Source organism: Homo sapiens, chromosome 6, assembly GCF_000001405.40.
Source record: "Homo sapiens chromosome 6, GRCh38.p14 Primary Assembly".
NCBI lineage: Eukaryota > Metazoa > Chordata > Mammalia > Primates > Hominidae > Homo > Homo sapiens.
The window spans coordinates 63050495-63065041 of NC_000006.12; the positions used below are offsets into that span (position 1 = coordinate 63050495).

The window sequence follows — 14547 nt, forward strand, 5'->3', positions numbered from 1 at the left end:
GTGAACGTATATAGGAAAAAGCTATGTTGTACAGCACTGTAGACCCTTATAGTTAGTTTCACTTTACAGATGAAGAAATAAGGCCCAGAAGATTTAAGTGCCTTTCCCTATGTTATATATCTAATTAGTGGAGGACCAAAATAATTAAACCCAAGTTTAATGACCTATATACTGTCACAAATTAATAAGTGAATCAATACTTGTGATGATGATGATCATGATATTAATATTGGATATAATTGTAAAAAAAAATTATTACTATAAGCCAGACATTTTTCTGAAAGTGTTGGCTTATTATCTCTTTCTCATAAGAAACTAAAATGTTAGGTACCATAATATACTTACTTTAGAAATGTGGTAGCAGAACCACAAAGGTCACTTAGAGATTGATAATTATTAGGTGACAGAAATGGAATCACCATACACATAAAAAGCTAATATAAGAAATTCTATCACTAAACTTTAGTCATAAAGATAAAAACAAATAGCAATTTATAATACATTTGAAATGCCACCAAACATAAAGAATTTTCTTTTGAAAAGTTTCTGTTCATATCTCTTGGCCACTTTTTAATGGTTTTTTATGTTTTTTTTTCTTGTAAATTGCTTACGTTCTTTATAGATGCTAGATATTAGACCTTTGTCAGATGCATAGTTTGCAGAAATTTTCTTTCATTGTGTAGGCTGTTTACTCTGTTAATAGTTTCTTTTGCTGTGCAGAAGCTATTAAGTAACCTATGCTGATTAAAACAAAATACCATAAAATAGAAACTAAATAATTAGAAACATTTGTCAATATATAGTTGATATATTTTCAATCTACTTGCAGACTGATGCTACTGCCAATGTATATACACATGTAAAAAGAGACTAAATTTCTAATTCGTTTTAACAAAAACAATTAACCTAGATTAGACAAATTCTTGTTGGAACTGAGCCCAATTCTACATGTGTTTTCCTTAAATAGAATTTGTTTATAATTATTGAACTAAAACTTTTCATTTCTAAAGAGAAAGGGGAAAGCTGAAGAATATCTTGTTGTGGTTCCTTATATTGATTAAGCAAATGAACTTACCATAATGATTCTAAGTGATCTAGTTAAGCAAATGCCTGGTATATTTACGCTGAAGAAAAAAATTTTTAACTTTTATTTTAAGTTTGGCATACATGTGCAGGATGTGCAGGTTTGTTACACAGGTAAATGTATGTCATGGACCTTTTTTGTACAGATTATTTCATCACCTAGGTATTAAGTCTAGTACCCATCAGTTATATTTCTTGATCCTCTCTCTCCTCCCACCTTCCACCCTCCCATAGGCCCCAATGTGTGTTGTTCCCCTCCATGTGTCCACGTGTCCTCATCATTTAGCTCCCACTTATAAGTGAGAACATGTGGTATTTGGTTTCTGTTCCCACCTTAGTTTGCTAAGGGTAATGGTCTCTAGCTCCCTCCATGTTCCTGGAAAGGACATGAACTTGTTCTTTTTTTATGGCTACATAGTATTTCACGGTGTATATGTAAAATATTTTCTTTATCCAGTCTACCACTGGTGCACATTTAGGTTGATTCCATGTCTTTGCTATTGTGAATAGTGCTGCAATGAACATATGCATGTGTCTTTATAATCGAATAATTTATATTCTCTTGGGTATATGCACCATAATTGAATTGCTGGGTTGAATGGAGGTTCTATGTTTAGCTCTTTGAGGAATCACCACACTGTTTTCCACAATGGTTGAACTAATTTATAATCCCATCAACAGTGATAAGCATTCCCTTTTTTCTACAGCCTTGCTAGTATCTGTTTTGTTTGTTTTGTTTTTTGTTTTTGTTTTTGTTTTTACATGTTGCACTTTTTTTACATGCTTGTTGGTCACATGTATGTCTTCTTTTGAAAATGACAATCTTCATAGAACTTGAAAAAACTATTTTAAAATTCGTATAGAACCATTAAAGCCTGAGTAGCCAAGGCAATGCAAAGAAAAAACAAATAATAATAAAAAAAAAAAGCTGGAGGCATCACACCACCCAAATTCAAACTATATTACAGGCTACAGTAACCAAAACAGCATGGTACTGGTACAAAAACAGATACATAGATGAATGGAACAAAATAGAGAGCCCAGAAGTAATACTGCATGCCTACAACCATCTGATCTTTGACAAAACGGACAAAAACAAGCAATGGAGGAAATAATTCACTATTCAATAAATGGTGCTGGGATAACTGGTCAGCCTATGCAGAAGACTGAAGCTGGATCCTTACCTTTCACCATATAAAAATATTAAGTCAAGAGGATTAAAGACCTAAATGTAAACCAAAAACTATAAAAACCCTGGAAGACAACTGAGGCAATATCATTCAGGATGTAGTCTTGGGTGAGGATTTCATTATGAAAATGCCAAAAGCAATCACAACAAAAGCAAAACTTGACAAATAGGATCTAATTAAGAGATTCTGCACAGCAAAATAAACTACCCATAGCGTGAGCGACGCAGGAGAGGGGTGAATTCTGCATTTCCATCTGAGGTACCGGGTTCTTCTCACTAGGGAGTGCCAGACAGTGGGCGCACGTCAGTGGGTGCGCGAGCCGAAGCAGGACGAGGCATTGCCTCACTCGGGAAGTGCAAGGGGTCAGGGAGTTCCCTTTCCTAGTCAAAGAAAGGAGTGACAGACGGCCCCTGGAAAATCGGGTCACTCCCACCCGAACACTGCGCTTTTCCGAAGGGCTTAAAAAAGGGCGCACCACAAGATTATATCCTGCACCTGGCTTGGAGGGTCCTATGCCCACGGAGTCTAGCTGATTGCTAGCACAGCAGTCTGAGATCAAACTGCAAGGAGGCAGCGAGGGTGGGAGAGGGGCGCCCGCCATTGCCCTGGCTTGCTTAGGTAAATAAAGCAGCTGGGAAGCTCCAACTGGGTGGAGCCCACCACAGCTCAAGGAGGCCTGCCTGCCTGGGTAGGCTCCACCTCTGGGGGCAGGGTACAGACAAACAAAAAGAGAGCAGTAGCCTCTGCAGACTTAAATGTCCCTGTCTGACAGCTTTGAAGAGAGCAGTGGTTCTCCCAGCACGCAGCTGGAGATCTGAGAACGGGCAGACAGTCCCCTCAAGTGGGTCCCTTAACCCTGACCCCTGAGCAGCCTGAGAGGCACCCCCCAGTAGGGGCAGACTGACACCTCACATGGCCAGGTACTCCTCTGAGACAAAACTTGCAGAGGAACGATCAGACAGCAGCATTCGCGGTTCATGAAAAACCACGGATCTGCAGACACCGCTGCTGATACCCAGGCAAACAGGGTCTGGAGTGGACCTCTAGCAAACTCCAACAGACCTGCAGCTGAGGCCCTGTTAGAAGGAAAACTAACTAACAGAAAGGACATACACACCAAAAACCCATCTGTATATCACCATCATCAAAGACCAAAAGTAGATAAAACTACAAAGATGGGGAAAAAACAGAGCAGAAAAACTGGAAACTCTAAAAAGAAGAGCACCTCTCCTCCTCCAAAGGATCGCAGTTCCTCACCAGCAATGGAACAAAGCTGGATGGAGAATGACTTTGACTAGTTGAGAGAAGAAGGCTTCAGATGATCAAACTACGAGCTACAGGAGGAAATTCAAACCAAAGGCAAAGAAGTTAAAAAACTTTGAAAAAAATTTAGACGAATGTATAGCTAGAAAAACCAATACAGAGAAGTGCTTAAAGGAGATGAGGGAGCTGAAAGCCAAGGCTCGAGAACTACATGAAGAATGCAGAAGCCTCAGGAGCTGATGCAATCAACTGGAAGAAAGGGTAACAGCGATGGAAGATGAAAAACCCATCTCGCATGCAGAGACACACATAGGCTCAAAATAAAAGGATGGAGGAAGATCTACCAAGCAAATGGAAAACAAAAAAAGGCAGGGGTTGCAATCCTAGTCTCTGATAAAAGAGACTTTAAACCAACAAAGATCAAAAGGGACAAAGAAGGCTATTACATAATGGTAAAGGGATCAATTCAACAAGAAGAACTAACTATCCTAAATATATATGCACCCAATACAGGAGGACCCAGATTCATAAAGCAAGTCCTGAATGACCTACAAAGAGACTTAGACTCCCACACAATAATAATGGGAGACTTTAACACCCCACTGTCAACATTAGACAGATCAACGAGACAGAAAGTCAACAAGGATACCCAGGAATTGAACTCAGCTCTGCACCAAGTGGACCTAATAGACATCTACAGAACTCTCCACCCCAAATCAACAGAATATACATTTTTTTCAGCACCACACCACACCTATTCCAAAATTGACCACATAGTTGGAAGTAAAGCTCTCCTCAGCAAATGTAAAAAACAGAAATTATAACAAACTGTCTCTCAGACCACAGTGCAATCAAACTAGAACTCAGGATTAAGAAACTCACTCAAAACCGCTCAACTACATGGAAACTGAACAACCTGCTCCTGAATGACTACTGGGTACATAACGAAACAAAGGCAGGAATAAAGATGTTCTTTGAAACCAACGAGAACAAAGACGCAACATACCAGAATCTCTGGGACACATTCAAAGCAGTGTGTAGAGGGAAATTTATAGCACTAAATGCCGACAAAAGAAAGCAGGAAAGATCCAAAATTGACACCCTAACATCACAATTAAAAGAACTAGAGAAGCAAGAGCAAACACATTCAAAAACTAGCAGAAGGCAAGAAATAACTAAAATCAGAGCAGAACTGAAGGAAATAGAGACACAAAAAACCCTTCAAAAAATTAACGAATCCAGAAGCTGGTTTTTTGAAAGGATCAACAAAATTGATAGACTGCCAGCAAGACTGATAAAGAAAAAAAGAGAGAAGAATCAAATAGACAAAATAAAAAATGATAAAGGAGATATCACCACCAATCCCACAGAAATACAAACTACCATCAGAGAATACTACAAACAGCTTTATGCAAATAAACTAGAAAATCTAGAAGAAATGGATAAATTCCTCGACACATACACTCTCCCAAGACTAAACCAGGAAGAAGTTGAATCTCTGAATAGACCAATAACAGGCTCTGAAATTGAGGCAATAATTAACAGCTTACCAACCAAAAAAAGTCCAGGACCAGATGAATTCACAGCTGAATTCTATCAGAGGTACAAGGAACAGCTGGTACCATTCCTTCTGAAACTATTCCAATCAATAGAAAAAGAGGGAATCCTCCCTAACTCATTTTATGAGGCCAGCAACATCCTGATACCAAAGCCTGGCAGAGACACAACCAAAAAACATAATTTTAGACCAATACCCTTGATGAACATTGATGCAAAAATCCTCAATACAATACTAGCAAGCTGAATCCAGCAGCACATCAAAAAGCTTATCCACCATGATCAAGTGGGCTTCATCCCTGGGATGCAAGGCTGTTCAATATATGCAAATCAATAAATGTAATCCGCATATAAACAGAACCAAAGACAAAAACCACGATTATCTCAATAGATGCAGAAAAGGCCTTTGACAAAATTCAACAATGCTTCATGATAAAAACTCTCAATAAATTCGGTATTGATGGGACATATCTCAAAATAATAAGAGCTATCTATGACAAACCCACAGCCAATATCATACTGAATGGACAAAAACTGGAAGCATTCCCTTTGAAAACTGGCACAAGACAGGGATGCCCTCTCTCACCACTCCTATTCAACATAGTGTTGGAAGTTCTGGCCACGGCAATTAGGCAGGAGAAGGAAATAAAGGGTATTCAACTAGGAAAAGAGGAAGTCAAATTGTCCCTGTTTGCAGATGACATGATTGTATATCTAGAAAACCCCACTGTCTCAGCCCAAAATCTCTTTAAGCTGATAAGCAACTTCAACAAAGTCTCAGGATACAAAATCAATGTACAAAAATCACAAGCATTCTTATACACTAATAACAGACAAACAGAAAGCCAAATCATGAGTGAACTCCCATTCACAATTGCTTCAAAGAGAATAAAATACCTAGGAATCCACCTTACAAGGGATGTGAAGGACCACTTCAAGGAGAACTACAAACCACTGCTCAATGAAATAAAAGAGGACACAAACAAATGGAAGAACATTCCATGCTCATGGGTAGGAAGAATCAATATCGTGAATATGGCCATACTGCCCAAGGTAATTTAGACATTGAATGCCATCCCCATCAAGCCACCAATGACGTTCTTCACAGAATTGGAAAAAACTACTTTAAAGTTCATATGGAACCAAAAAAGAGCCCACATTGCCAAGTCAATCCTAAGCCAAAAGAACAAAGCTGGAGGCATCACGCTACCTGGCTTCAAACTATACTACAAGGCTACAGTAACCAAAACAGCATGGTACTGCTACCAAAATAGAGATATAGACCAATGGAACAGAACAGAGCCCTCAGAAATAATGCCACATATCTACATCCATCTGATCTTTGACAAACCTGAGAAAAACAAGCAATAGGGAAAGGATTCTCTATTTAATAAATGGTTCTGGGAAAACTGGCTAGCCATATGTAGAAAGCTGAAACTGGATCCCTTCCTTACACCTTATACAAAAATTAATTCAAGATGGATTAAAGACTTAAACGTTAGACCTAAAACCATAAAAACCCTAGAAGAAAACCTAGGCATTGCCCTTCAGGACAGAGGCACGAGCAAGGACTTCATGTCTAAAACACCAAAAGCAATGGCAACAAAAGCCAAAATTGACAAATGGGATCTAATTAAACTAAAGAGCTTCTGCACAGCAAAAGAAACTACCATCAGAGTGAACAGGCAATCTACAAAATGGGAGAAAATTTTCACAACCTACTCATCTGACAAAGGGCTAATATCCGGAATCTACAATAAACTCAAACAAATTTACAAGAAGAAAACAAACAACCCCATCAAAAAGTGGGCGAAGGACATGAACAGACACTTCTCAAAAGAAGACATTTATGCAGCCAAAATACACATGAAAAAATATTCACCATCACTGGCCATCAGAGAAATGCAAATCAAAACCACAATGAGATATCATCTCACATCAGTTAGAATGGTAATCATTAAAAAGTCAGGAAACAACAGGTGCTGGAGAGGATGTGGAGAAATAGGAACACTTTTACACTGTTGGTGGGACTGTAAACTAGTTCAATCATTGTGGAAGTCAGTGTGGCGATTCCTCAGGGATCTAGAGCTAGAAATACCATTTGACCCAGCCATCCCATTCCTGGGTATCTACCCAAAGGACTATAAATCATGCTGCTATAAACACACATGCACACATATGTTTATTGCGGCACTATTCACAACAGCAAAGACTTGGAACCAACCCAAATGTCCAACAATGATAGACTAGATTAAGAAAATGTGGCACATATACACCATGGAATACTATGCAGCCATCAAAAATGATGAGTTCATGTCCTTTGTAGTGACATAGATGAAATTGGAAATCATCATTCTCAGTAAACTATCACAAGAACAAAAAACCATACACCGCATGTTCTCACTCATAGGTGGGAATTGAACAATGAGAACACATGGACACAGGAAGGGGAACATCACACTCTGGGGACTGTTGTGGGGTGGGGGGAGGGGGAAGGAAAGCATTGGGAGATATACCTAATGCTAGGTGACGAGTTAGTGGGTGCAGCGCACCAGCAGCATGTTACATGTATACATATGTAACTAAACTGTACATTGTGCACATGTACCCTAAAACTTAAAGTATAATTTAAAAAAAAAAGAAAAAGAAACTACCTATATTTCATTTTGTTATCCTGAGAAGAGTATTAGTGAAACAATGTGTTTTTTATGTTTGAGAGAAAAACTAAACCAATGAGAACACACAACTGGAAATAAAAAACAAAGACTAAGATATAGCCAACTCTGTAATGAAGAAAAATTAATTTATTAATGCTTATTATAGGCCAAAAAAGAAATGAACATAACAAATTTTGGTTTCTAAACTACAACTGTCACTGCAATTCTGCTGCAATACTTAATGATGTTTAGCAGTGTAAAATTTTGTTAATTGCACTTGAACAATCTTAATTTTATCTTTGAAAGCTAAGGAACCAGTAATAAATTACTTCAAGCATTCTTCCCAATAGATCTTCCCATAACTTGGACTAGGTGGTATGCACAATTTTATTTGTTTGTTTGCTTATTTATTTATTTATTTATTTGTTTATTTGTCTTAGTGTGGCAGACACTGAGAACTGCCTACCCAATTGCCATCCTCCCCTTCTTTACTAACAACTTGAGCAATATGCCCAGTTACTAAACTACATTTCCCAGCTACACTTGAAAATGGTGGAGGCCAATGAAATGTAAGGGGGATGTATTGCCTGGAGCTTCCCTTTTTACATTCCCTCTTGTTTTCGCTTTCTGCCTTGAACTCAATTGTGAAGAGTGTCTGGGTTTCCAGAAACTATTTTGGGTTAAACAGTGGGTTGAAAATTATGTGCTAATTACAGGAAACCAGAAATCTGGAAGGAGTTAGACGTCCTTGAACTACCTATTGTGGAACTTTCTCTATGTTAGAGCTACCTTTAAAAGCAAATGAAATTTATAAAATATTCAGTTTTACAAAACTATAACATTGATTATCATAAAAATGAAACACAACCATATGAAAGGCAATTTGAAAATTATATAAGCTGTATAAATTTTTATTGTTTACAGACGATTAATGAATTCTATTTAGGAAATTACAAATTTGAAGAATAAAATTAGAAATTAAAAAATAAAATCTAAAATATCAAAATAATCTCAAGGAGAGATTGAAACTAAATAGAACAAAACCATGAGAAAATAAGAAACAGTCTCAAAGAATAAACTCCAAGGGCAATGTAGGACTCAGATATATTTGTAGAGAAATTTTCCCACATTTTTAAGAAATAGGTTATCCCTATTCTATGTGAATGCTTCACAACATATAAAAAAATGAAATATTACTGAATATGTTTTACAAAACTAGTATTATGCTATACCAAACCTAACAAAGTAAACACTCTGTTAAACATACACAAATATATTTTCATTAAATACATGCATGAATGTCCTATCTATTATTATTCAAGGTGACAGAGGTTTAGCTACTGAACTTAGACTCAAGGTCCAGTAGCTGGGCTAAGATCCAAAGCAGAGAAATGAGTTTAATGACCTTTTCTAAATCAAAGACATTTTCCAATTTACTCACTATTTGTTTTCCATAGTATGGATCCCTTAGGAAACAATAAGTTTTATTGACTAGTGTAAGACAATAAAACTATGTCGTGAATACAGTAATTCAGATATTACTATAAATTAAGACTAGTTGTATTAGGAAAAGAATTATGCTGCAAGCATAATAAAAAACCTAACAAAGGTTTAAATCCACTAAATGGTTTTTATGTGTTTGCTTTGTCTTGGTTTTCCCATTTAAAAAGTCTAGAAGTTAAACAGTCCAGAACTGGTAACATCAAGGGGCTTCAACTGATTCTCTTTTTGACATAGATATTGTCCTATTGTTATACATGTTCCAAGCATTCCAATGCCAGGAGAGAAAGATGTGTTAAATTTCCAAACACAATATGATCATATGCAATTTTTTTCCTAGAGGTGGTAAATCAATTGTGATACACATTAATGAAATGGAAAATGTACTAGAAGTTCAATCACAAATATGAGTGGTGAGGACAAATGTGCTCAATTGTAGTGTATTATTCTTATTATAAGCTCAGAAAATAAACTAAAATAACATCTGATTAAGGAATATTAACAAAGCAGCATCAAAACCAACACCAATATAATATGTAAATATGTATTTAATATTTTTAGCTATTATTGTCGAAATCTTTATTTCCTGATATACATCATAACAGAAACAAGTTATGAATTATATTCAAATCAAACTGTTAAGCAGTTATCAATTAACATGAAAGGAAAATATCTACTATTAATATAAATAGCAAACATTTTTTGAGAATTCAGATGTTTCACTCTCTAGACTGAGTATTTTAATTCAGATATATAAAAATCCAAGACTAAGTTTTTAACTACTATTGCACTGCCTTTAATTATCTCATGTCCTCATTGCTACATTCTAACAACAACAAAAAAGAACTAAAATAATGGGACAAATGTCTGATCATTCTCTGCTATAGTGGACAATAACTAAAAGATCACTGTGTGGCAGACAATACTTTCATAATAGGAATCTATTTGCCATTGCCTTGTTTCCATTGATTTAACTGGATATTCACTGGGCCTTCAGTCCACAACTTACTGTTCTGCTTACTGTTTGGGGAAATTTATTTAAAATCTTGGATTTTTTCTTTAATAATTTTCTCAACCACTTTCTGGAAATCTTACCATTTGGATTTTGAACCTTCTTGCCTTTTCTTTTTATTTTCTGGAAAATGTTTTCTATTGTATTTTTGCTGTTAGATTTAACATTTCCAAACATTTTATTCCTAAAAAAAATTTTTGTTGACAATTTATTTTAATAGTATCCTCTTCCACGTTTTTATATTCCACATATTCTCTTTTCATTCCAAGGATATTAGTTACAGGTGTCTTTGCATTTTTCTTCTGGTGCTTGTATTCAAACTGTCTTCTCTGAATTTCTTTTGTCATTTGTTTGTTTTGTCTGATTTTATTATTGTTGTTATTGTTCGACAGTTGCCCAAAATATAAAGTAATATTTTGTCATCCTGTGATATTTAAGAGTAAATTCTTGTTCAAGCTTACTAGAAGCAATATCTAATTAAATGGGCTGTGGTACACTACATATTGGAGAGATCAGTAAGAAACCTTGTCCTTTGTTGGGGCATCCTCAAAATAGTCATATCCGTAGATCTCATCAGTTTCATTAAGAAAGACTCATAGGCCAGGTGTGATGGCTCACATCTGTAATCCCACACTTTAGAAGGCTGAGGTAATATCACTTGAGGTCAGGAGTTTGAGATCAGCCTGGGCAACACAGTGAAACTCTGTCTCTACAAAAAATAAAACACAGCCAGTTGTGATGGTACATTCCTGTACTCCCAGCTACTTGAGGGACTGAGGCAGGAGTAACACACGAGCCCAGGAGTTTAAGGTTACAGTGAGCCGTGATGTGCCACTGTGTTCCAGTCTGGCAATAGAGTGAGACTTTGTCTCAATAATAATAAAAAAAAATTAATTCTCAATTGTTCCCTGGATTGAAAGTTGTGGTGCTGGGTTCATCATACTTAGAGCAAAGTAGGAGAAAATAACAAAGTGTCAATGTTTAATATATACATCTTTATTTAAATCATCTATTTTCAGTATAATACCCGAGGTCTCTGAAACACTCATTATTTTCAACCTCTGTCTTCTAGGCTTCACCTAGGAGAAATGCCATTCTGCAAACGCCTTCACCATTCATTCTCTCAGTTATCCAAGCTTCAGCAAAATATATCAGCATCATCAACTGCCTGTCTCCTTTGAATGCAAATAATTGCTTGTCAAATAATTCCTCAGAAATAATATGTCTGGTGATATGGTTTTGCTGAGTCCCCACCCAAATCTTGTCTTGAATTGTAGTACACATAATGCCAACATGTCACAGGAGGAACCAAGTGGGAGGTAACTGAGTCATAGGAGCAGTTACCCTCATCCTGGTGCTCTCATGATACTGAGTGAGTTCCCACGAGATCTGATGGTTTTATAAGGAGCTTTTACCCCTTTTGCTCAGCACTTCTCCTTCTTGCATCATATGAAGAAGGATGTGTTTGCTACCCCTTCCACCATGATTGAAAGTTTCCTGAGGACTCCCCAGCCATGCTGAGCTATGAGTCAATTAAACTTATTTATTTTATAAATTACCCAGTCTCAGATGTGTTTTTATTAGCAGCATGTGAGTGGACTTATACATAAATTGGTAGCAAGTAGTGGGGAGCTGCTGTAAAGATACCTGAAAATGTGAAAGTGATTTTGGAACTGGGTAACAAGCAGAGATTGAAACAGTTTGGAAGGCTCAGAAGAAGACAGGAAAATGTGAAAGTTTGGAACTTCCCAGAGATTTGCTTAATGGCTTTGACCAAAATGCTGATAGTGATATGAACAATAAAGTCCAGGCTGAGGTGGTCTCAGTTGGAACTTGTTGGGAACTGGACTAAATGTCACTCTTGTTATGCAGAGACTGGCAGCATTCTGCCCCTGCCCTAGAGATCTTTGGAACTTTGAACTTGAGAGAGATGATTTAGGGTATCTGGTGGAAGAAATTTCTAAATGACAAAGCATTCAAGAGGAAGCAGAGGACAAAAGTTTGGAAAATTTGCAGCCTGATGATGTGATAGAAAAGAAAAACCATTTTTCTGGAGAGAAATTCAAGCTGGCTGCAGAAATTTGCATAAATAAGGAGTCAAATGTTAATCACCAAGACAATGGGAAAAATGTCCCCAAGGCATGTCACAGACTTTCATGGCAGCCCCTCCCATTACAGGTCTGGAGGTCTAGGAGGAAAAAATGATTTTCTGGCGGGGTCAAGGACTCCCTGCTCTGTGCACCCTCAAGACTGCATCCCAGCTGCTCTAGCCATGGCTAAAAGGAGCCAACATATAGCTCAGACTATTGCTTCAGAAGTTAAAAGCCCCAAGCCTTGGTAGCTTCCATGTGGTGTTGGGCCTTTTGGTGCACAGAAGTCAAGAACTGAGGTGTGGGAACCTCCACCTAGATTTCAGAGGATGTATGGAAAGGCCTGAATGTCCAGGCAAAAGCTTACTGCAGGGGCAGAGCCCTCAAGGAGAATCTCCGCTATGCCCATGAAGAAGGGAAATGTGGGGCTGGAGCCCCCACAGAGTCCCCACTGCCTAATGGAGCTGTGAGAAGTGCCCTAATGGGGACTGCCTAATGGAGCTGTGAGAAGAGGGCCACCATCCTCTAGACCCTAGAATGGCAGATCCACCAACAGCTTGCAGTGTGCATCTGGAAAAGCCACAAGCACCCAATACCAACCAGCCCATTAAAGCAGCCATGAGGCGGGCTGTACCCCGCAAAGCCACAGTGGTGGAGCTGCTCAAGACCATGGGAGCCCACTTTTTGTATCAGTATGACCTGGATGTGAGACCTGGGGTCAAAGGAGATCATTTTGGAGCTTTAAGATTTGACTGCCCTGCTGGATTTCTAACTCACATGGGGCCTGTAGTCCCTTTGTTTTGGCCAATTTCTCCCACAAGGAATGGGGTGTATTTACCCAATGCCTGGACCCACACGTTTACCTATGTAACAAACCTGTATATTCTGCACATGTACCCCAGAACTTAAAATAAAAGTTGAAAAACAAAACAAAACAAAAAAACTTTGGAACCAGTCATACAGCCTCTCTGATAGCATCTCCATTAGCAATTCATGAAAAAGATTTCTAGGATCAGAAAGGAAACTCTCTTCTGCCTCTACCTTGGAAATGGTATTCTCAACACTATGTTAGAAGAAAATTAAACATGTAAATATCTTTGACATTTAAAAGTTTCTAAAAATGAATTAAATTATAAATGGCAATAACTTAGGTTTATGTGGCACTTTATGTTTTTCAACGTCCTTCTAACTATATTATGCCCCCGCCCTTGGTAGAGCAGTCATGAATACTTAAAGTGACTTGCCTAAAGGAGCACAGCTAACTAGCTATAACACTTATAACAAAGATGCAAGATTCACATTTGCTTTTCTTTTCTGTGAATTTGACCTTACTAAAGGAAGCCATTGCCACAAGTAGACAAATTCTATATTAGCTGTACTCACATGGGATTCCTGTTGTGGCTCTCACTGTCATTTTATGACACAGGCTCCCCCATAACAAGAACCATGGCATTTTCCAGGTCCCTCACCTGCCTTATGACACCCCCCAAAGTGTAGAGTGGGATATCCTCTCCATGATGATTCTGCTACTTTGCTGTAGCCTAACCAGAATTGTAATAGTCATCCAAAGGTTGGAAATTAAAGCCATAACCGCATGTACACACATATTATAAAGACTTTTTTTCTTCTTTGGCAACTATTACAAATGTGACCCAGGTAAAATGAAAAATTCTCAGGATTGCTATGAAATCATTTATTTTCCATGCCACACCAGAGTTTTAAAATATTAGAAAATTAAGATATATGAATCTCTCTTGCTCCAAGCTAATGCATTTGTCATATATTTCAAGGTGGTCCTGGCATGATGCCATATCTAAGTTTTTAGTTCAGAACTGTGACTAGCATGGCACTATCAAAGTGCACCAAGGTCTTTCCCTTGTATTTACTAGAAATAGCATTCTAGAAAATATCTCAAAACTCCCAAGGTAGGAAGAACACTAAAAAGAAATCTATTTTTTTTCATCTGGCACCTTCAAAATGAACTGAGCCTCACTTTTGGTCTACATTGAAGCATTTGGTCTAGATCCATCTTAGGTATATTCAAGATAGCTTTTCCGTATTAGAAAACTCAAATACAGTATTAGTTGATGTAGAAGTCAGAAAAATGTACGAACTACAATTCTTTTAAAGTTCTATTTTCGTCAAAGTTATGTTCAATAATTTTTCTATTTTATTTTTATTGTTTTGTTTTCAAT

General features: G+C 37.5%; 1 annotated feature.

Moving 5' to 3' along the window:
* Positions 2278 to 2809: an enhancer, noted in NCBI's record as "H3K27ac-H3K4me1 hESC enhancer chr6:63762677-63763208 (GRCh37/hg19 assembly coordinates)". NCBI's record gives its function as "activates a minimal SCP1, AML or CMV promoter by ChIP-STARR-seq in naive H9 embryonic stem cells {active_cell/tissue: H9 hESC(naive)}" and the evidence as "EXISTENCE:reporter gene assay evidence [ECO:0000049][PMID:30033119]".